Raw genomic sequence first — 24,029 nt, forward strand, 5'->3', positions numbered from 1 at the left:
ATTTTTAATAAATATAATTTATATGAATAGCATATTAATAGTTAAGTAATAAATATATTAATATATCCAGGTCAGGTTTCAATATAGTAATATATCCATGTCAGCCCATTTGTATGTGATATAACACTATTAATTCTTTTAATTTCAAGCAACCTGGTGCCCAATTTGTTTTTACTTTTATTGTATTTTTATAATTGACACATAATTACTGTGCATATTGATGGGGTACATAGTAATGTTTCTATATATAATGTATAGTGAAGAGATCAGGGTAATTAGCATATCCGTCATTTCAAATATTTATCATTTATTTGTGTGGGAACATTTGATATCCTTCTAGCTGTTTGAAACTATTACTTTTAACTATAGGCATCCTACAGTGGTATAAAACACTAGAATTTGTTCCTCCTATCTAGATATAATTTAAAGTGTGTCTCTTTTAAGAAGCATAAACATGTCATATTTATGTAGTCTGATAATCTTTGACTTTTAATTGGAGTGTTTATTCTGCTTAAATTTACTATAATTCTTAATATAGTTGTATCTAAGTCTACTATCTGCTATTATATTTGTCCTATCTTTTGAAAAATAAACTTTTAAATTTGGAATAATTTTAGACTCACAAAAAATTTGTGTGGGCACAGAGAGTTTCTATATCTGACCTTTAGCTCAGTGTCCCGTAATGTTGACATCTTACATACTTGTAGTATATTTGACAAAACTAAGAAATTAACATTGGTACATTGCTGTTAACTAAACTCTTGTCTTTATTCAGATTTCATCAATTTTCCAATAATGTCCTTTTTTCTATTCCAGGATCCAATTCAACATACCACATTGTATTTAGTCCCCATATCACTTTTGTCTCCTTTAATCTGTGACAATTTATTGATTTTGTCTTGTTTTTCATGACCTTGACAGGTTGAAGAGTACTTATGAGGAGTTTTGTAAAACGTCCATCAGTTTTACCACCATAAAAATCAGTTCAGATTTTTATGATGTCCTTGTTGTGATTATACAAAGGTTATGCATTTTCTGGAAGAATATAAATGGAGTGGAAGTGTCCTTCCATCACATTATATGAGGGGGTGCGTAATATTCACATGCCATAATTGGTGACAGTAACCTTGATCACTTGGTTAAGATTGTCTGCCAAATTTCTCCACTGTAATTTTTTTTTCCTTTTTCTTAGTCTTTTCTTTGGAAGCCAGTCACTAAGTCTAGCTACACGCACCTGGAGAGGGGAATTAAGCTTCACCTTCGGGAAGGAGGAGACTATACTCATATTATCAGCAATTCTTCTGTAAAGATGTGTCTCTTCTGCCTTTGATCCATGTGTTGGTTTATTCCTCCATTTCTGTCTTCTTTTGTATTAGTCGGGTATTTTCTATTACACTATTTTATGTCCTTTTTAGATTAAGTCCAAAATTTTGCATTTTCCTTTTAGTTGTTGCCCTACAAATTACAACATTTGTTCTTGCTACAATTTTTTTCTTAATACTTTCTCTAACAATTGAAGAGATATGTTATAGTCTAAACCCACTTATCTCCCAACCTGTCTTTTGTGCTATTTTTGTCATATATTTTACATTACAGTATCTCAATAGGTCATTTTTTTTAATATCACAATTCTTTTTAGTTCTAAGGCAGAATCAACTTTTCTACCTTTTGCTCCCAACCTTGTTAAACGGGAAAGAATTGCATAAGTATTTGAGAAACCGTTTACCAAAAGCATCTAGCAGATCTAGCAGACGCCCATGTTAAAATATCAATAACATTCAAAAATTTGTAAAGAACTAGTTTTGAATAACAAATTGGTCAATGTGAAAAACAGCTAAATGTTATACAAAATTAGAATTATCAAAGTGGTTGGGGGGTAGTATGTACTTTCTAAAAGCATCGGATAGTCCGTTTTGAATAAGAGAAATATAAGGGAAGTGACAGCTAGAAGCAGGCACAGATTTAGATAGAACCTGCAGCCTAACTGTATAACACCTTGGGTGCCTGGGAAGAACTAAAAGTCAAGAAGAATTTTTTGAAAAACCACATAAGCCTTTTTTTTCATAAAACTTTTATTATCATGTCATTTGTACAAATGTAACAGTAATGATAAATTCTCTTTTCCAAGGGAAAGAGAAACGCTGCAGAATGGACATTAAACAAGGCATTATGCCCTACAAGCAAGACATAAAATGTCTAAGGGAAACTTCAGCATAAAAATGTTGAACACATAATGTGAGATAATTTGAATAAATAACAACTGACATTCTTTTTTTAAAAAAAAAGTATAAAAAATAGATGTGTACATACATTCCCTTACCCTAACAGTGATCCACTAATTGCTTGCATTTCAATCCCCCCACCCTCCAGTTCCCCACCCTGTCATTTATCAAGGTGGCTGACACATTATGGTCTCCCACTAAATATTAGTTTAATGACACATTTAAAACCCATCATATTCCAATTAAATAATCAGGACTGAGCTATGTTTGATGAAACACACTCACATCTTTAAATAACAGCATGTAAAATATTAAAATACAAGCTTTCAAAAATAAATACATAAATAAGTAGAACCCTCGTAAGAAATAGTCAAACACATTAAGTCCTTTCCAGCTGTCCCTAGAAAGCTGCTGTTCTCTTTTTCATTTTCAGCTCTGGTAAGGGCAGGGACCACCCTGCAGGAAGTGTCAATGATACGCTGATAAGCTTCTTACTTCTCTCCTGTCAGTTGGTGCTCCCCCTGTGATGAGAAAAGGGTTACTGTTGCAGGTGCTAAGGAAGGCTGCTCTTCTGTCACTCTGAAGTTGCTTGGAGGGATGTCCCCATGCAGACTCTCTCCCAGCCCTCCACTCAGGGAAGGTCTGTCTGTACCCACTGCCTTCTATAGCAGAAAACTTGCACTCCTGAATGCTTTTTTTTTTTTTTTCAAGAAAGAAGTGGCTGTGGACTCAACTAGATTCTTGGTTTGAAAAAGCCAAAACATATTGGTCACTGATTGTCACATTGGGTTAGAAATGTCCATTCATGATCTCCCTTAAGCTGCACACAACCCTATGAAATAACTACCATTATCTACCCTATTTTGCTAAAGCTCAAAGAGATTAAATAACGTTGACAGGGATCCTAGCCTTGAACTCACTGAAGGTGTTACTGCAAAGTTTCTGCTCTTCACCAAGAAGGCTTACAGGCCCAAAGTGCCCAAACCAGACATTGCATTTTTCAGGTCTGAAGCCCATTAGGGACTGAGGTAAACGTCCCAAAACAGGCAGGGGGCATTTTGGCATTGTTAGTCAAATTTACTTAGTATTCTAGAAACCCACATTTACCCTCCCAGGGGTTAGGCCTGGAAATGGAAGACACTGAAATACTGAAATATCCTCTGGCACCAGAGCAGATTAATAACCTTAATGGCAACTTTAATTGTGAAAATAATAATCACAATTTCTAGTCCTTCAGCTAACTCTTGGGGTTCCCTGATTTTATTTTTAGGGGGCAGATGCCAGTATTTCTGACCAACGGCTCCAGTCGCCTGTGTATATGGAAATTACAACTCACTTGTTCAGTATCTTTTCGATGATTTTCTGAACCATGGGGGATGCGGGGTTGAGACAAGCTTTCTTCCCATTCTTGAGTGTGGCTCTGCAGAGAGAAGGGAATTCCGTGAGACAGGAGGTCGGGCTGGGGACAGGGTTGGGGCAGCGGGAGAGTCGGGGACCCCAGCGGTGGCAGCGGAAGCGCGGGGCGGGACTTACATGACTTCGGTTTGGGCGCAGTGGGGTCCGGGGGACCTTACATTCACACTTTGGATGTTCTTGAGGTGAATTCCCTGCAGTGTCTGCAAGCACTGGCAGCGCAGTTCAGTGACCACGGACGCTCCTAGGGAAGAATAGACTCGCTGATTGAGCGGGGCTGTCGGCGCGGGGCGCCCACCCCAGCCGCGTCCGGCCCGGGGACCCCAGGGCGCCGGGACCCACCTGCTGCGCGCCGGCTGGCGGCCACCAGGAGCAGGAGCAGCAGCGCCACCCGCAGGAGCCGGGGATTGCTGGGGGCGGCGGAGAGCGTGGCGTGGGCCATGGGGCTCAGCAGACGCGTCGGGAAGCTGTGCGAGAAGCGGGAGAGCTGGCGGGGAGGTGCCTGCGACCCGGGCTGTGTGGCTCCCCAAGATCGGCGAACCCTTTTTATGCATGGTTGAGACTGGAAAGCCCGGAGCGGCCGGGCCAGGGAAATTCCCGGAGCTCCAGATCGATCCGGAGTCCCGAAGGAAGGCGACGGCCCCGCCCCCGGGGTGGAGTCGGATACGGGTAGGGGGAGCCCACTGGTGACGCCTACGCCTCGCCCTCCAGAGTAACCCCCGTGCACTCTGGGACTTTGGGATATTCATTTTCTGCCCCAAATTCCTGGAGAGGCAGTGAGTCCACCTCGCTGAAGATACAGCCTGTGAGGGGGGACCTTAGGTCCCCGATGACCCCCCGCGTACGGGGTAGGGTTGGAGGAAAGAGCTGGGGGGACCCGTGAGAACCAGGACAGGAAAGGCACGACTTCTTTAGAGGAAGAGAGCTTTGTCTCCTTAGTTATCAGATTTGCTGGGGACCCGGAGACAGGCGAGTTTTCCCTCAGCTATCCTCTCTCTATATAGTCTATCCTCTATGTTAACCTCCCGGTCTCTGCCTCTCTCATTTTCGGTTTAGCGTTATTTCATGTACATCTAACATCATGCTCTCTGTGAAAGTACAGCCATCGTCTCGGATTCCAGAGAAGAATGTTCTACTTGTTCCTTGTTTTGCATATTCTCTAATCACACTTAGAATACCTTGTTTACGTTTTCCATTTGGTGGCAACAGATTATCAGTGTCAAAATTTGAATTCAGTGTTAGTGTCCGTGGAAGCCAGGGCTGTATAACATGACCTCTTCTTTTGTATCCTGCATAACGTCCTTCCTCCCTCTGAAATGTTGGAACTTCCTAAATCCCCTGGAGACCTTCTCCCAGTGGGAGGGATTCAGATTTGATCTAGAAATATGACACTGGCTGTCACTCTGAAGCTGTGGAGGGGCTGGGTCCAGCAGGATCATGGGCTCAATGTTTCTGGTTCTGTCTTTGCGAATGACACTAGAGAGTAGGTACCTGGTGTGCAAACACCATTCCCACTGAAGGAGCAAACAGCTGCCTGCTGATGACATTTAAACACCAGATCACACATAAAATCACATTTCATTTACTATAGAATTTTCTGGTATTCAGCACTGGGGGATCTTTCTCTGGAAACATTAACAGGGCACTTTTTTTTCTCGTCTGGATTTTCAGTCTTTTAACCTGACACCTTTGTCCCTTTTTCTAGTTTTAGATAATGTATTTTGATTTGTCATTAGGTTTTAGAGGGTTTAAGTGTGATTCTACAAGTTGGTCTCAGACCTCTTTGAGACGTGGAGTAGGATGGAGGAGAGGAGAAAGGAATGGCATCTGCCTGAAGCACAGGGCTCTACACAACCCAGCTCAAGGGATAAGAGTCCTTGCCCCTAACCAAACACAGAGCGTGCAACTGTGCTGCCTGTATTTAGTTGCAGAGTATCACTTGCAAGTTGTTAAGCCTCTCTGTGCCTAGCCCAAGGTGGTTATGAGAAATGAGTTAACATTTGTAAGAGACAACATGGATTAAGTGCCTTATTAATGGTTGTTAAATAAATAAAATGGACTATTTCCATTTTTAAAAGGCTATTTCTTTCCCGACATTGCCTGAACAAAAACTCAGCCTGCTATGAATTCTGTAAAGGAAAAAAGAAGAATCTAATGGAAAGTTTTACTCCCCAGTGTTTTTCACATTTAAAATTTTCTGTATCCCTTACTGCCACCCAACTCTCCCTGTCTCTAACTGATATAAAGCAGTGTGAGTCCTTAAGAAATCAAAGCACATCCTAGAAAGAAGAATGTTCATATAAACACCACAATCCCAGTTTCCAAAATGGTCTTGTAGTTACTGGTGCTCACGGGTATCTGTGATGTCATTACAATAATCTTGGACAAGGGATAGAAAGGTGTGCTAGAATGTCCTGTTACTTTAAAATAGACACTATAGGTAATATATATGCTCCATTCTTTTTCAATAATTTCCTCTCTCACATCTCCCTGACTACTTAAATTCCTTGAAAGAAAGGATAGATACAGAAAAAACATTGACCCAATGGAGGCCAAAATAGTGTCCCAAATGTCTTCTGCAGTTTCAAGCTGTAATAAATGCTGCAAACTTATAAATGAAAAATAAAGTTCAATTGGGAATTTATAAAAAACAAAAAAGTTAAATGTTTTTAATTTAGGAAGGCTTTCAGAAAGGAAGACACATCTGTACTTTACCAGGAGATGCACATAGATGGGAGGTCATTAAAAATTTGCTTGTTTTTCTTCAGCAAACATAAGGTAAATGATAAGAGCTTACAAGATTCTGGGTAAATGTGGAACATGCTGCTTTTTTATTTAATAACTTCATGCTATGGGCAAGTTAAACCTCTGCACCAGAGACAAGGGGCAGAGAATTTATTTAATGCTCTTCTAAGCATTTTACAAATATTGACTCATTCAATCTTCCAAACAATACTGTGAAGTAGATATTAATTGTTATCTTTATGGGACTTAATGGTTACAAACAAAGGAACTGAGGTACAGAGAGATTAAGTCACTTGCTTAACTTCATACATCCTTGAGGCTGGAAATCAAACCCAGAGAAAATGGCTCTTAACCATTAAACTATGGTAAAAATGCACTGTGATATATAATTAGTACTTTAAGGGGAGGAAGGATTTTTAAAAATGTATTTGTTCTTGACCTAGTTGAATAGCTTAAATTTACATATTTTAAAATGAAAATACATCAAAACGATAATATATCTTTGTAGTTTTGTTTCACTAACAGCATAACTCTCTCCTGTGGCATTGATGTAGCTCATTATCTTTCCTTAAGGTGCCCAATTCTGAAGAATAAAATAGGCACTTTTCCATGGAGAAAGCTGACAAACTACTTCTTTAAAAAAATGGTGAAGATAAACGTCTTCAGTGTGATGTCATATGGATATCATGTACCCACTTGATATGATGTCATAAGAATGGCATAAGCAGGATGCCTCTTTGGTACCACTTCCAAAAATTCATCACCCAAATCTAGTTATGATAAAAAACATTCTTCAAACTCATACTGAAGACTCCTAAAGCTAATCAGTACTCTTCAAAACTGTCAAGGTCATGAAAACAATAAAAGACTGAAAAACCATCACAGTCCAGAGGAAACTGGAGAAGTGACAACTCATTGCAGTGTGGTAGTTTGGATAGGATCCTGGGACAGAAAGATGATATTAATGGAAAAGCTGGTGAAACACAACTTAGTCTGGAGTTTAGTTAAAAGTAACGTGTCATTGGTGGTTTATTAGCTTTAACAGACGTTCCGTGCTGTTGTAAAATGTTCACTGTCAGGGAAAAAGGATGAAGGGCACACAGACACTGTATTATCTTTGCAATGTTTGTAAATTGAAAATTGTCCCAATTAAGTTCATTTTTTTCTAAGTTTATTTTTCTAAATCCATTTAGAATACCACCAAAATGAAATCAGGGCATGTGCATGTTTTACCTGCTAGCTTTCTAGACAGGAAATTGAATTTTGATTTAGTACATATTTGCTCAAATATGAAAATTCAAAATATCTGTTGCCGCAGTTTGGGCAGTTCATCATGCTTCATAGTGTTAAATACTTTGCCTTCAGCATTATGTTTTCCAGATCTCTCATTTAGTTCTTATAACTGAAGAAAATCAGAAAGTGTTTGCTATCATGCTCTCCAGACCCAACACAAGGAGAGTGCCAAGAGAATAATGCAAATGAAACATGTCAAGAGGCCGTGGACATTTGCAGGTTATGCAGAACTTGACTCCTGAGGAAAATGTCATCAGAATCACTTGTTTTTGTAAATGAAGTATAAAGGAGAGGATTCGTTGTTGTTGGTGGTGGTGGTGTTTTTCCCTAACATGCCGCTTGTATCAATGAGATCTTCATAAGCCAAAGCTTATAATGCTGTTGACTACAAAAATAAATTGTCTTGTTAGAGCAAGTGTTTCTCCAAGCCTATTTTCTTTTCAACAGTTGAATGCCAGAATTTTATGCAGTCTTTAAACTTATTCAAGCAAAAATTCTTAAAGAAATGGAAGAATCTTTAAAAATGGAAGCTTTGGTGGCCAAATTCCATTTGCCCTGTAATCATTATGGAACCTTACAAAACTGGCAGACGGTCAAATCTCGGTGCTCACATCTCCTAGGCCACCTGTTCTCCAGTCACTGCTACAACACTAGCTGCCTGCAGATGTCACCTGGAAACTCCTGGCCTCAGCTGAATCAGGTATCTTTCACTTTGTGGCCCAGTGTTTCTCTGTTGCTGCCAGGAAACATCCCTTTCACAAGAGGAACTGGGGTCAATGGATAAATGTTTCCCTCTTTTGCATGTTTTGGGCAGAAATTCTACACCATTTCTCAGAGGGTCCCCAGTAGAATTGAACTCCAGTTGCCCATGTCCTCTTTTCCTAGTTTGTTCTTCCCAGCTTTCAAGTCCTCTGCATTGGTAATATGTCCCCAAATAAATTACCTGCATGGCAGGCTCATGACTCAAATTCTGCATTTTGGAGGAGCCTAAACTTAGGCACTGCTCCATCCTGAGAAATAACCATGCTCAAATAAGGAGGGCAACCCTGCTCTGCCCCAGACTGATTTAGGAACTTCTTCCTCACAATTGCTATCCCTATTTCCCTATACTCATCTCTTCCAATGTAATGACTCTGGCTCAGAGCAGAGAAGAATGAAGATGTGTGAACATGACATTAGATTCCTGAATCAGTCCACCTCCACAGTCCAAGGCCATGGTGCGTGCTGAATTCATGGTCCTCTCTATTTAGCCTCCTGGAGACTGCTTGTCTGGCAGCTTCTCTTTCTTCCGGTACACTTAAAATTAATCTATGCATATAAGGCACAGTGATAGGTTTAGTAGAAGAGACAAAGTTGGATCAAATCCGACTTCTAACACAAAATTCTTCATTTAATCTGTCTACTTTCTTTTGTAATGCCAGATCATTTATTTTTCTGTTCCTGGTATAATAATCTCGTGATATGATCAATATGCAAGTACTTAAAATCATTCATGTAACACTGAGAATCATTCAATATTTTAGCTTTGGTCGGTTTTCTTGGGTGGGGGGTGGAAGAATGGGCAATTATTTGTATTTAAAAGTGTTTTTATAAATTGTTTTGCCTCTTCATTTTGTTAAGATTGTTTCCTAAACTTTCTGGAAGTGGGATTCATTAAATAAATAACATCATGATCATATATTATGAAAACAACAAAACATAGGATTGCCAAAATTGCAAAAGAATAAGGAAATGAGAAAATGTCCCTTGGAAATAATTACATAAGAAGTTTGTTTTGAAGATTAAAACATCCTTATGACTTTAGTATTCTGGAAACAAAATTTAGGAAGTTAGAAGATGAATGTATAAACCACAAATGAAAATAGCATGCATAGCATAAAAACACAGATTTCATCTAAGAAAAGTTTGAGTCATCATAAAAACTTGATCTTAAGTGTCCTAACCATAACTTTTTTTTTTTTTTTTTATGCAGAGTCTTGCTCTTGCTCTGTTGCCCAGGCTGGAGTGCAGTGGTGCAATCTTGGCTCACTGTAAACTCCGCCTCCCAGATTCAAGGGATTCTCCTGCCTCAGCCTCCTGAGTAGCTGGGATTAGAGGTGCACGCCACCACGCCCAGCTAATTTTTGTATTTTTAGTAGAGACAGGGTTTCACCATGCTGGTCAGGCTGGTCTCGAACTCCTGACCTCGTGATCCACCCACCCCAGCCTCTCAAAGTGCTGGGATTACAGGCATGAGCCATTGCGCTTGGCCAATCCATAGTATTTGTCAAGGTTATTTATTGTCCAATTTTTTGGTCAGAAATATTTTTGTTTTGATTTTTTCCTTCTGGGTTCTGTCCTTATATTCAGTAAAGACTTCTATACAATGCTGGTTTCAGAGTTGCTCTACTGGTGTGTTACTGAGCTAGTTCATTGATTGACATTTTTGAAGTAGTTAAAGACAAAAAATACGGGATCCAATTAGACATGGTGGAAATTATAGTGAAAATGGGGAAACAAGAGCTTGGTTGTGTGTCATTACTACTGTATGTTATACATAGAAGTAAATGTCTTCAATCAAATAATGTTTAATGTGCTCATATTAGTATCTGTGTATGACTGGAGCATGTGGGTGGACAGGTTCTTAACAGAATCCCTAATAGTTTCAAATGTGAGTCTAATTAAAATATCAAACAAGTCACTGACAGGAAAAATAGCATAAGGCCGTTGGAATGTCTATGACTAACTTGGTGAGACCTGTGAGCCTAACAAGATCAGGAGTTGGGAAAATGGTGTCTTTAATGTTCAATCAACTTTCTGTTAGCTGGGTGCCTTATCCTCAGTACCCACCTGCGCTGTTACATTACAGCACTAACTGCGGTATTATTCCTCTTCATGTAATAAATATTTGACAAACATTTATTTAGCACCTACTCTACCTGGCATTTTTCTGAGATCCGGAATGAAGAGATGAAAAAAGCTTGACACTTACTCCCTGTTTTAAAGTAGAAAAACAGTCAGATAAATGAATAATCACAGTGCAACTTAATAGGTATTCTGATGGACATAAGTACAAATTTCTTTATGCCTTGTTTCCTAGTAGTTTCTATAGTCATCCTTAGATTGAAAAAAAGACTGATTTTCCAACACAGCTGATAGGTAAAACGGATTTTTTCCAACTCTGCTTGTTGTCCGCTCTACTTTCAGTTTTTATTGCCTCTAATTACGGCCTCTGGATAATGATATAATCCCCATGTTGTGTCTGACTCAGTGAAGAAATAAATATTTGGAACATTTACATCCAAGATGTATTTACTTTTCTTCTTTCCTTTACTAGGAAGACAATTAAAACAGGCTGTCCATCACCACATGTCCTGTATGTTTTATAATCTTATAGACACACTGGTTGACAAACTGTGGGATTTTTAATTTCTGTAAACTTATGGGGTGCATGAGAAATTTTGTTACATGTATGTAATGCATAGTGATCACATCAGGATATTCAGAATGTCCATCACCAGAGTACAATACATTTTTATTAAGTACAGTCATCCTATGCTGCTATCAAACATTAAATTTATTCCATTTATCCTACTGTACATTTATACCCTTTAACTCACTTTTCTTCATCCTTTCCCTTCCCTCCCTTTTACCCTTCTCAGTCTCTTATCTATTTTTCCTCTCTCTGCCTCCATGTGTTCAAATTGTTAGCTTCCACATATAAGTTAGAACATGTGATGTTTGTTTTTTAGTGTCTAGCTCATTTCACTTAAGACAATGACCTCACATTCCACCCATGTTGTTGTAAATGACATAATTTCATTCTTTTTACGGCTGAATAGTATTCCAGTTGTATATATACATACTTGCTTTATCCATTCTTCCATTGATGGACAATTAGGTTGATTCCACATCTTTGCTATTGTGAATAGTCCTGTAATAAATACGTAAGTGCTGGTATTCATTTGATATATTATTTTCCTTTTGGTAGATACACAGAAGTGGGGTTGCTGGATCAAATGGTAATCCTATTTTTAGTGTTGTGAGACATTTCCATAGTGGCTGTACTAGTTTACATTCCCAAGAACAGTGTATAAAAGTTCTCGGCCAGGTATGGTGGCTGACGCCTGTAGTCCCAGCACTTTGGGAGGCTGAGGCAGGCGGATCATGAGGTCAGGAGATGGAGACCATCCCGGCTAACATGGTGAAACCCCGTCTCTACTAAAAATACAAAAAATCAGCCGGGCGTGGTGGCAGGCGCCTGCAGTCCCAGCTACTTGGGAGGCTGAGGCAGGAGAACGGCGGAAACCTGAGAGGCGGAGCTTGCAGTAAGCCGAGATCGCGCCAGTGCACTCCAGCCTGGGTGACAGAGCAAGGCTCCATCTCAAAAAAAAAAAAAGTTCTCTTTTCTCTGCATCCTCACCAACATTGTCATTTTTTTGTCTTTTTTAATAATAGCCATTCTGACTGGGGTAAGATTATACCTCATCGTGAGCTTTATTTGCATTTCTCTGATGATTAGTGATGTTGAACATATTCTCACATACCTGTTGGCCATTTATGTCTTCTTTTGAGAAATTTCTGTCATCTCTTTTGCCCACTTTTTAATGGGATTATTTGTGGAGTTTTTTTCATTTTTGTCCTGTTGAGTTGTTTTAGTTGCTTGAATATTCTGGTTATTGGTACCTTTTGGAAGAATAATTCACAAATATTTTCTTCCATTTGGCAGGTTGCTTCTTCTCTCTGTTGAGTATTTCTTTTGCTGTGCAGAAGCATTTATTTCAAGTAAGTGCAGTGTGTTTATTTTATTTTTGTTGCCTGTGCTTTTGAATCTTAGTCATAAATTATTTGCCTAAACCAATGTACAGGAGAGTTTTGCCTAGATTTTCTTCTAGTATTTTTATAGTTTCAGCTCTTATATTTAAGTCTTTAATTAATTTTGTGTAGTTTTTTTGTATATGGTGAGAGATAGGGGTCCAGTTTCATTTTTCTGCATGTGGCCATCCAGTTTTCCTAACACTATTTATTGAACAGTGTATCCTCCCCTAAATGTATATTTTTGTCAGCTTTGTCAATGATCAATAGGCTGTAAATATGTGGCTTCATTTCTGGCTTCTCTATTCTATTCCATTGCTCAATGTGTCTATTTTTATGCCAATGCCATGCTGTTTTGGTTATTATAACCTGGTAATATATTTTGAAGTCAGATAATGTGATGCCTCCTACTTTGTTCTTTTTGTTCAGGATTTCTTAGGGTATTGAGGGTCTTTTTTCATTCCATATACGTTTTAGTAATTTTTTAAGTTCTGTGAAGAATGGCATCAGTATTGCTTTGAATCTGTAGATTTTTTGGGGCAACATGGTCATTTAAATAATATTAATACTTCTGATCCATAAGCATATAAAGTGTCTTTCCATTTGTTTCTGTCATCTTCAATTTATTTCATCAGTGTTCTATAGATTTCCTTGTCAAGAACTTTCACCTCCTTGGTTAAATTTATTCCTAGGTACTTTAATTTTGTTGCTGTTGTTGATAACTATCGTAAATGGGATTGCCATCTTTATTTCATTCTTAGCTAGATCAGTATTTGTGTATAGAAGGCTACTAATTTTTGTACATTGATTTTGAATCCTATAATTTTACTGAGTTCATTTATCACATCTAAGGCTTTTTTTGTTGTAGTCATTAGGTTTTTCTACATATAAGACCATATCATCTGTAAAGAGGGACAATTTGACTTCCTCTTTTCCAATCTGGATGGCTTTTATTTATTTCTCTTGCCTGATTCCCCTGGGTGGGGCTTACATTACTATGTTGAAGAGGAGTAACGAAAATGGTCATCTTTGTCTTGTTTTAGATCTTAGAGAAAAGGCATTCTCTTTTTCTCCATTCAGCATTATGTTGGCTCTGAGTTTGTCATATATGGCTTTTGTTATTTTAAGGTATGTTTCTTCTATGCATATTTGTAAACAGTATTTATCATGATAGGACACTTCATTTTATCAAATGATTTTTCTGCACTCATTGAGATTATCATATCGTTTTTATACTTCATTCTGTTGAAGTAATATATCACATTTATTGATTTGTGTATATCAAACCATTTTGGCATCCCTGGTATGAATCTCACCTGATTATAGTGTATTATCTTTTTGATGTACTGTTTTATTCAGTTTGCTAGTGTTTTGTTGAGGATTTGACATCTCTGTTCATCGGGTATATTGGCTTGTAGTTTTCTTTTTATGTTGTATCCTTGTCTGGTTTTATTGTCAGAGTAATGCCGGCTTCATAGAATATGGGTAATTTCCTCCTCTTTAAGTATTTGGAATAGTTTCAAGTGGATTGGTATTAGTTCTCCTTTGTACATTTGGTAGAATTTGGCTGTTTATCCATCTGGTTCTGGGTTTTCCTTTTTGGGGATACTTTTTATTACTGATTCAATCTAGCTACTCATTTTTGGTCTGTTTGTATTTTCTATTCCTTCCCGATTCAGTCTTGGTAGGTTGTGTGTTTCCAAGAATTTATTCATTTCCTATAGGTTTCCCTGATGGTCGGTCTATAGTTATTCATAATACTCTGTGATTATCTTTTGTATTTCTATGGTATCAGTTGCAATATCTCCTTTTTCATTTCTAATTTTGTTTATTCAGATTTTCTCTTCTCTCTTCTTGGTTAATCAGTTAGGGATTTTCAATTTTGTTTATCTTTTTTAATAACCAACTCTTTTGTTGATCCTTTGTATTTTTTTGTCCCTATTACCTTTAGTTCTGCTCTGATCTTTATTTGTTTTCTTCTATTATATTTGGCTTTGGTTTGTTCTTGATTTTCTGGTTCCTACAGGTGCATTGCTAGATTGTTAGTTTGTGATTATTCTCCTATTAATGTAGGCTTTTATTCCTGTAATCTTCCCTCTTAGCACTGTGTATCCCACAGGTTTTAGTATGTTGTATTTCCATTTTCTTCTTTTTAAGGAATTTTTAAATTTCCATTTTAATTCCTTTCTTCTCCCAATCATCATTCAAGAGCATGTTCTTTAATTTCCATGATTTTCTATTATTTCCAGTGTTCCTGTTGGTATTGATTTTTCATTTTATTTCATTTTGATTTGAGAACATTCTTAATATAATTTTGATTTTTAAAAATTTGTTGAGACTTGTTTTGTGGCCTTACATATGTTCTATTCTGGATAATAGTCCATGATTTTATAGAAAGAAGATATATTCTGCTGTTACTGGATAAAATGTTCCATTAATGTCTCTTAGGTCTATTTGGTCTAAAGTCCAGTTTAAACCCAATGTTTCCTTGTTTATTTTCATCAAGATGATCTGTTTAATGCTGGGAAAGGGTGTTGACGTCCCCTACTTTATTGTATTGCAGTCTTTCTTTGTTTTGATCTAGTAATATTTGCTTTGTGTAGCTGAGTGCTCCAGTACCGGATGCATATATAGTAAGAATTGTTACATTCTCTTGCTGGATTGATCCCTTTGTCATTGTATAGTAATCTTCTTTGTTGAAACTGCCATCAGAGTGAATAGGAAACCTACAGAATCGGAGAAAATTTTTGCAATCTACCCATCTGACAAAGGGCTAATATCCAGAATCCACAGTGAACTTAAACAAATTTACAAGAAAAAAATCAAACAACCCCATCAAAAAGTGGACAAAGCATATGAACAGACACTTCTCAAAAGAAGACATTTATGCAGCCAACAGACACATGAAAAAATGCTCATCATCACTGGCCATCAGAGAAATGCAAATCAAAACCACAATGAGATACCATCTCACACCAGTTAGAACGGCGATCATTAAAAAGTCAGGAAACAACAGGTGCTGGAGAGGATGTGGAGAAATAGGAATGCTTTTACACTGTTGGTGGGAGTGTAAACTAGTTCAACCATTGTGGAAGACAGTGTGGCAATTCCTCAAGAATCTAGAACTAGAAATACCATTTGACCCAGCCATCCCATTACTAGGTATATACCCAAAAGATTATAAATCATGCTACTATACAGACACATGCACACGTATGTTTATTGCAGGACTATTCACACAATAGCAAAGACTTGGAACCAACCTAAATGTCCATCAATGATAGACTGGATTAAGAAAATGTGGCACATATAAACCATGGAGTACTACTATGCAGTCATAAAAAAGGATGAGTTCATGTCCTTTGCAGCGACATGGATGAAGCTGGAAACCATCATTCTCAGCAAACTATTGCAAGGACAGAAAACCAAACACTGCATGTTCTCACTCATAGGTGGGAATTGAACAATGAGAACACTTGGACACAGGGAGCGGAACATCACACACCAGGGCCTGTCGTGGGGTAGGGGGAGGGGGGAGGGATAGCATTAGGAGAAATACCTAATGTAAATGATGAGTTAATGAGTGCAGCAAACCAACACGGCACATGTATACCTATGCAACAAACCTGCACGTTGTGCACATGTACCCTAGAACTTAAAGTATAATAATAATAAAAAAAAAACCACAGACCAATGAAAGTTCAGAATTGCCAGTGGATACACAATTAACTAAGTATTGAGTTATTCATTACCAATCAAAATTAAGTGCTATTTAAGCACCCAAACAAATGGCAATTATTTACATTTGAGTTGAGTGACTATAGATAACAAACTGTCCAAACATTTTTTAAGTGTTTGTTCTTTAGGACCCTCAGAGACTATAATAAAATGGAACACGTTTATATAGATAAATACTACATTATGTTTGTACAAATAAACAGAATTCAAAAATAATAATAATAATCTTCTCTGTCTTTTTTACTGTTCTTCACTTAAAGTCTCTGTTATATAAGTATAGCTACTTCTGCTTGATTTTGGTTTTCACTTGCGTGTAATATGCTTTTCTATCTCTTTACTTTCAGTCTGTATGTGGCTTTACTGGCAAGGTGAGTTTCACGTAAGCAGTATATAGCTGAATCATGTTTTTTAAATTTATTCTGCCATTCTATATATTTTAAGAGCAGAATTTAATCCATTTATGTTCAAGGTTGTTATTGATATATGAGGCTATGTTCCTGTCATATTGTTAACTATTTTTTGCTTGTTTTATATATTCTTTGTTCCTTTCTTTTTGTCTTATAGTTTTCTCTTGTGGATTGGTGGATTTCTGTAGTGTTATCATTTGCATCCTTTCCCTTCCTCTTGTGTATGATTGCTTCACCAGTGAGTTTTATAGTTTAGTGTGTTTTCATGATGGTAAATGTCACCCTTTCACTTCTAGCTTTAGAATTCCTTTGAGTATTTCTTTCAGAGCTAGTCTAGTGGTAATGAAATCCTTCAGCATTTGTTTCTCTGTGAATGACTTTATCTCACCTTCATTTATAAAGGAAAATTTTGCTAGATGTAGTATTCTTGGGTGGAAGATTTTTTCCTCCAACATTTTGAGTATATCTTCCCATTCTCTTCTGATGTGGAAGTATTATGTTGAGAAATCCACTGTTAGTCTGATGGGGTTTTCTTTATAGGTAGCTGAACACTTTTCTCTTGCTGTTTCTAGAATTTGTTTTTAACTTTGACTTTAGACACCCATAGGGAAAACCTGTTTGCATTTTATCTGTCTGGGCACATTGAACCACCTGAATCTGAATGTCTAAATCTCTTGCTAGATTTGGAAATTTTCATCTATTTTTGCATTGAATAGATTTTCTAATCTTTTCTTTGTTTCTTCACCCTCAGGTATACTGATAATTTGTTTATTTTTTCATTTTATATTGTCTCAAATATCACAAAGCCTTTGCTCTTTCTTTATTATGTTTTCTTTATTTTTATCTAACTGAATTATTTCAAAAGGCCTGTCTTCAAATTTTAACATTTTTTCTTCTGCTTGAGCTAGCCTATTATTGACACTTTTAAACGTATTTTATATTTCCTTTAATGAATTCTTAAGTTCTAAGCTTTTTATTTGGTTTGTATTAAAAATATCTACCTTTTCAGTAAATTTATCATTTGCATTCTGATTTTTAAAAATTTATTTCTATTGTCTTTCAGAATTCTCGAAAATATCACTGAGTATCCTTAAAAAATCAATATTTTGAATTCCTTATTTGGAACTTTGAAAATTTCTTTTTGATCAAGATATATGCTAGAGAATTAATGTTTTCCTTTTGAGGTGTTATATTTTCTTGCTTTTTTATGTTTCCTGTATCCTTATATTGATTTCTGGGTATGTGGTATAAAAGGAAATTTTCCTATTTTGGAATTTTCTTTAGTAGGGGATAACTTTTTTCTGAAGATGTATTTATGGTGTTTGGTGGGTCAAGTACTTTGGCTTTGATTCTGGGTGCATGGAGTACCATAGTCTGTGTGATTACTTTGGCTGTAAACATCATTAGTTGTATCTGTAATGTCCCCTATACTACACTAGGTGTACAATAGGTTATACCATCTAGATTTATGTAAGTGCATACTACGGTGTTCGAACAATGACAAAATCACCTAATGAGGCATTTCTCAGAATGTAGTCCTATTATTAAGTACTGCATTTTTGAGCATCTGCATCCAACCCAATAGCTGTTGCGGAACTTGCAAGTGGTGGAGCCAGGTTAGCCCATTATTCTGACTGGAGAGGATGTGCTTTTAGCTGGGTCATAACTATCTCATAAAATTGTTTATTCCTGCATGCAAAACACTTTATATGCTTGGCATATTAAAAGTGATTAATAAATTTGAACTATTATCATGCTATATAAAGAATGATACAGATCATAACTTGTGAATTTTGTTGGCCATATTGTGAAATACCAAAGTGTGAAACAAAACGAGAAGGGAAGAAGTAAAGCTTTTATCCACAGCAATTATGTTCAAATTAATAATATATAACAACAAATAAATAGAAATTGTTATTCTTATGTTAATACTTTTGTAGTAACAAAATTAATTTTGTTAATGAAAATTTTGTAGGTATAAATTTTAGGGGTTAAGAAATGAATGGAAATTTTGTTGATTAAAAAAAGAATTAGTAGTCTAGTAAAGGTTAAGTTCTACATTGTACTTACTTACAAGGTCAATACTAATGCTAGAATTGTAACCATGTAGATGTTAACTAAATGCTAATATATACAAACATGTCAGGGTAAAACATTTAACCTCAAGAATTTTTTTTCCTTTCTTTCTTTCTTGTTTCAAAAAATATCACAGGTTTTTTAATGGGATACATTAATTCATTTCCATCATCTATTTTTTATTCTACCAGGGGTAAATATATACACTTTAAAGTAAAAAAGCAGAGTTCACAAGACTTACATTCTACAACTTTATTATTTTTAGGGTTTGAAGGCTAAAACAAACATCAGAAGAAACTTTCAGAAGATGTTTTAAGCAAGACATAATAGCACTAAGACACTAAAAGACCCTATTAAGTTCCTGAACATACTAACAAAAATTTATTGAGCAAGTATTTTGCGCTGGGCTCTGTGTGATTCCTAATATCATTAACCATTATTAAATCTGTTTATTATCATCAGCATGTCTAGTCTTACAGTAGAGTGGGGTTGGAAAAATCAACAAAGATGTGTTTCAATAGAAATTTTCAAATAAATAAAGGGAAAGTGCACTACAATGTTTAGCCAAGGATTGGGGGTAAAACATATATTATATATTGAAGCATGGCTTGCTTATTTTCACCTTCTTTCTGTTATCTTTTATCCAGCATTCTCAGAATAAAATGAGATTTTTGAAACAGAATAGAACTTAGATCAAAATTTTAATACAGTAAGAATAAGTATCCTGGATAAATAAGAATCTGAGAAAGTCAAGACTTCAAAATCCTCCCCTTCCAGTGAAAAGCGTTAGCAGAAAGTTAACAAATTAACCAGATGAATTCATCAACTTTCAACATTTTCTGTACAATTTTATTGATTCTGGGAGCATCTGGGTCCAGGCAGATTTTTTCTCCCATCTTACAGAGTGGCTCTGCAAGAGAGAATAGAATTATCTGTGGGTGTCCTGGCCTGAATATCAGAAAGGATCTGTGAGACTGGAGGAAATGAATGCAGATGGGGATGGAGGTAGAGGGCTTCCCTGATGAGGCGATAGCACAGAAGCAGTGGCTTACATTACTTCGTCTTTGCTGCAATGGGGTCCTGCTGAGACCAACTCCAAATTGTGGATGTTTCTGGGATGAAGTACAAAGGTTGACTTCACATACACGCAGCGCAGTTCAGTGTACAAGTCACTGTCTACACTTACAGCTGGGGTAAAAAGTGATCTATTAGTGGTCGTGAATATTTTTCTCAGTTCTCTCAATTGTAAATTGAAGGTAATTGTACCTCTCTCATAAAGCCATTGTGAATATGATCTGTAAAGCTTTAGTAAAGTGCCCAGCAGAATGCCCAGCAAATGTGAAGTGCCCCCTCTCTGTGACCCCTCCACTTGGATTTGTTGTTATAATGGCACTCTCCAGCCCCAGGAGCACCAAGCCAGTCTTTCTCCCAGATACAGGTATAGCAGAAGCAGCAACAGGTGCAAGGAACAGATCTCTACATTTCCTTTTCCCTATGTTTCTCTTAGTTTGTCCATTGGTGGAGGAACCCAGAACAGTCAACAGCAGCACCTGCAGGGCACAAAGTGATCTGGCACAGCTGCAGGGTGGCATTGAGTCTGAGGCTTATGGTGCAGAAGCCGAAGTTAAAGATGTTTCTAGAGCCTGAAGACTTCCTCTTGAGGGTGAGTTGCTGCCTACAAGTCTGCAGTTAAGTGGCTTTTCATACCCCTTGATGTCATTTATATGCTCTCCCTTGAAGTCAGTAAGGAGAAAGAGGTAGGGAAGGGGGAAGTGAGGGTATGTGGTGATACACACACACAAGCTTGTCAAGCTGTGCCCAACACAGGTCAAAATTCCTACTAAGTTGCATGTTATGCATCACTTCACATTCCCACTCTCCCTTTCTCAATACCTATCTCCCTTACACATGTGTAAGGACTCTACTTAGGAAGGTAAGAACTAGACTGAAACACTACATATATTTTCTTTGTATGAGCCTGTAACAATATGTGCTGTCTTTCCTACAACACAGTTTATAGGCTTTGTTTATAGGCTCCTATAGACACTTTAGGGGCACCTGAAACCACAAATATATGGCCCTGCGCCAAAGACAGCAGATGTTCTTTGGGACCGTATGGATAAAATAAGAGCCAATTATCATCAGAGGCTTACTTTGGATTTTAGCTTACTGAATTCTTTCTGCCTTAGAAATAAATTTTATAATTTTATCAAGAAACTACAAACAAAACTCATTCTCTCTTTTGTTTTTTTTTTTTTTTTTAGTTTTCAAGCCAATTTTTCTTATTGTTGAACAATTATTCACTATGCCTACTGAAGTTATTTGGAACTGTTTTTAAGTGTGATAACCTACAGGTCACATTTTACAGTTTACATTATAAGTAAGCAGACTTCCAAATTAACCCACCTTGGAAAGGTTTGGTGACTTGATGTTGACATTCTATCTCTGAGTAAAGCATTTTATTATGAGTTCCTCAGATTGTTGACGTACTGATTAATGTAGAACCTGATGACACTGAATAGGACCATGATTTATTTCTAAGTTACACTGAAACAAGAAGTTTTCTGATTGTTTTGCACGTAGACATTTAGCCTGTATGTAGTAATCTAATGATTGTAACTCCTTTATTTTATCCTCCGATGAAAAAGAGGACAACTCTGGTATGAGGAGCCTTCCTCTCTTCTTCTAAACTTTCCCATAAAGCCCTTTTAGCTTATGAAAGACTCTAGAACACCCCCAACTTTGTTGATGTGTCTTTCCAGGTCTGTCTTCCCATTTGGCTTTCAATAAACTTTTCTAAAATTATTTATGCCTCCACAGAAATAATTTCAGTAGATAAATGTATTTCTTATTTTTTCCACCCTACTTAATTTTTTCTTATAAATTAGAGTTTAGCAGTAGAAAATATTGAACTAAAATAATTTTTCTTCCCATCTCAACACAGAACTGTCTAGTCTTAAGCAAGCTTAAAAGAAGGGCACAAGCTGAGAGTTTGGCTTCTTCTGAGAGCTGAGATATGGAGTCAATAGCAAAGAGAAGCTCAGCAGGACACAGAATGAGGAGAACAGGCTTCTTTCTAGCTCCTCCTGCAGGATGACTTTACAACCTTTTCTTGTTATTGAGATTGAGATATTGTGAATTCTCAAGTCAGATACATTTTCATTCAATCATAAAATCAAAGCTATCTCCAGAGCAAGATATAAAGGTCTTTAGCACTATTCATAGTATCTTTCATTTTCTGTTCAACCCCTTAAACACATTGTTGAGAATATTTATTAGCTTCACTGGACACTTTTTTTCTTTCCATACTAACCCTATGCAGATTTCTTTCCTCGTTCATTAGTAAGATTTCCAAAAAGTTCCTAATCCTTTTGAGGAAACTACAGGAAAAGTCTCCTGAAGTAATGATGTTTTTGAGTGAGTTGACAGTAGGAAAGAGGTAGGCATGGATCACAGTATCTTTGAGTAATTGCCTTAATCAGCAAATGTGGCTTGTCACAAAAGACACATCATCAGCAAGGGTCATGAGGAAGTAGTAACAAATTTCATGAGTCATCAAAATTGTATAAGCCTATTAGTCAGCTTTTAATATAAAACAACTTTTTGCTAATTTTCATTAACTCAAAAAATATTGATTAAGCATCAATTATGTGCCAGGCTTTATGAAGTTCGCTTCTTTGCATGACTTAGTCATTTTAACTATTTCTTTTTTAAAAGCGAGGCCTAAAAACTTTGTGCAAAGTAATGGGCTATGAGTCATACTCTACTATTACGACAATGATGACAACTGCTACTGTTAACTGCTATTACTATCATTTGCATCATTCCCTTCAATTTCCAAGATCAGAAACACTATACACACAGTGATAAACTGTACAAAAATGGTTAAAAGATATTTTTTAAATGAGTAATTCAGTTGAAAGCAATTAGCTTATACAAAATTATGATTTAAATAAATGCTAGAAGTAGAAAAAAAGTCAGGTTTTTTGGTTTTAAAATAACTTCACAGCCTTTTTATAAATCTTGCATTGTCACTGTGGCTTTGTGTATGTGTGTATATTGCAGGAGGTAAGTTATTTTATCTCTTTTCGCTTTAAGTCATATAAATGCAGAGTCATTCAGGAAACAAGCAAGTTATCTAAGACCTAAAGCACATCTTATGTTAGCTATTTTAAAACAAAATTATCTAGAGACACTGCAGGACCACTATTCATAAAATTCAGACATAGACTAGCTCTTTTCTGCCTCACACAGCACATTCTTAACACACTTTTCCCAAATCCTTTCAAGTATGAAGGAAATAGACTGCCACCTGCAAATGCAAATTAATCACAAAAACAATTGCTTCAGAAAATGCTTAGGGATAGTACAATTTTCTATAAGTTTGTTAAAGTATCTTAATCAATAAATTAAAATATTAACCAGCAAAAGATTTTCTATAAGTGCTGAAACCAAACGTGCTTTCTGTGTAACTGTTAGTTGATAAGAATTGTTCAGATGTCAATTACTCTGGCACTCAAGTTAATTGAGGTTTTACTGTCTACTGCCCACAGGTGAAGCATGGGCTGAAAGTGGGAGGAGAGTGGGGAGGGTGAAGGAGTTGAGGGGGAAGTATCTTTCTGGGTACTATTACATACAAGTACTTCAAAGTTTTGCAGGCTTCAGAATTTATACTTTAAATTATGTTGATAAATGCCATTTATTGAATCTCAAATGTATGAAAGGTACACAGTTTCTCTACATACTCATTCATTTGAGGAAATTCTAGCATAATGTTGTTCTAGAGCCTGCAAACACATTCAATTGTTACCAAGTACCATTAATCCTCTTTTATTTGTAATAAGTCAACCTTACTTTCTGTGGCTTAAAATAAATATATTATTTCTGATATATCTGCATGTTAATGTGAGGTTCTTCGGTTAAGCTCACTTCAGTGAGCGCAGTCGGAAGCAACTGAAATGGTTAAAAATAAAAAATGGCCTCATTCACATGGGAGGTGGTTGGTGTTGGCTGTTGGCTGAGATTTCCCCTGGGGTACTTGGGTCCTTCTCCGCCTCTTTTTTAAGTACAATTATTTTACTTCCATGAATAAACAGAAATAAGGCATGGTGGGAAGGAAGGAGAAAAGATAAGAGAAGGAGAGAGAAAAGAAGGAAAAGGAAAGCAGTAACAAATTAGAAAGAAAAAAAAGACAACATAAGCCCCTCCAACTCCCTCCTCCTCTCTTCCTTCTCTCCTCTCTTCTGTCTTCTAGCCCTTCTCACTTCTCCTCCCCTTTTTTGATCCCTTTCCCTTACTGAAAAATCTTTAGTTTCTGTGTGAAAATGGAGTATATTTTCTG

General features: G+C 36.8%; 1 protein-coding gene, 1 long non-coding RNA gene and 1 pseudogene across 3 annotated transcripts, besides 2 other annotated features; 1 reads left to right on the forward strand and 2 right to left on the reverse strand.

The window, feature by feature from the left end:
* Positions 1 to 2,054: 2,054 nt before the first annotated feature.
* Positions 2,055 to 4,155, reverse strand: CXCL3 (C-X-C motif chemokine ligand 3). Its single transcript, NM_002090.3, has 4 exons — positions 3,978 to 4,155; positions 3,756 to 3,879; positions 3,559 to 3,642; positions 2,055 to 2,743 (listed from the first exon to the last, which is right to left on the reverse strand). Exons 1-4 carry the CDS (start codon positions 4,075 to 4,077, stop codon positions 2,728 to 2,730), a joined length of 324 nt encoding a protein of 107 aa, NP_002081.2. The 5' UTR covers positions 4,078 to 4,155; the 3' UTR covers positions 2,055 to 2,727.
* A 255-nt stretch (positions 4,156 to 4,410) lies between these two features.
* LOC105377275 (uncharacterized) lies at positions 4,411 to 8,088 on the forward strand. Its single transcript, XR_938875.3, has 2 exons — positions 4,411 to 6,413; positions 6,954 to 8,088. It is a non-coding gene; the product is annotated as an uncharacterized LOC105377275 (long non-coding RNA).
* An 11,415-nt stretch (positions 8,089 to 19,503) lies between these two features.
* PPBPP2 (pro-platelet basic protein pseudogene 2) lies at positions 19,504 to 20,865 on the reverse strand (annotated as a pseudogene). The gene has a single exon (NR_026769.1). The product of NR_026769.1 is annotated as a pro-platelet basic protein pseudogene 2 (transcript).
* Positions 22,019 to 22,962: a transcriptional cis regulatory region, noted in NCBI's record as "candidate enhancer chr4.1813 targeted for multiplex CRISPR interference". NCBI's record gives its function as "positively regulates expression of the CXCL3 gene with high confidence and the CXCL2 gene with lower confidence in K562 cells {active_cell/tissue: K562}" and the evidence as "EXISTENCE:mutant phenotype evidence [ECO:0000015][PMID:30612741]".
* Positions 23,175 to 23,359: a transcriptional cis regulatory region, noted in NCBI's record as "candidate enhancer chr4.1814 targeted for multiplex CRISPR interference". NCBI's record gives its function as "positively regulates CXCL2 and CXCL3 gene expression with high confidence in K562 cells {active_cell/tissue: K562}" and the evidence as "EXISTENCE:mutant phenotype evidence [ECO:0000015][PMID:30612741]".

This window comes from Homo sapiens, chromosome 4, assembly GCF_000001405.40.
Source record: "Homo sapiens chromosome 4, GRCh38.p14 Primary Assembly".
Lineage (NCBI taxonomy): Eukaryota > Metazoa > Chordata > Mammalia > Primates > Hominidae > Homo > Homo sapiens.

Excerpts from the sequence above, each read along its gene's own strand:
- CXCL3 (NM_002090.3), bottom strand. The coding sequence starts at position 4,077 with ATGGCCCACGCCACGCTCTCCGCCGCCCCCAGCAATCCCCGGCTCCTG. Across the intron at positions 3,880-3,977 it reads CGCCAGCCGGCGCGCAGCAG|GAGCGTCCGTGGTCACTGAA; the intron begins GTGGGTCCCGGC and ends ATTCTTCCCTAG. Across the intron at positions 3,643-3,755 it reads TGCGCCCAAACCGAAGTCAT|AGCCACACTCAAGAATGGGA; the intron begins GTAAGTCCCGCC and ends TTCTCTCTGCAG.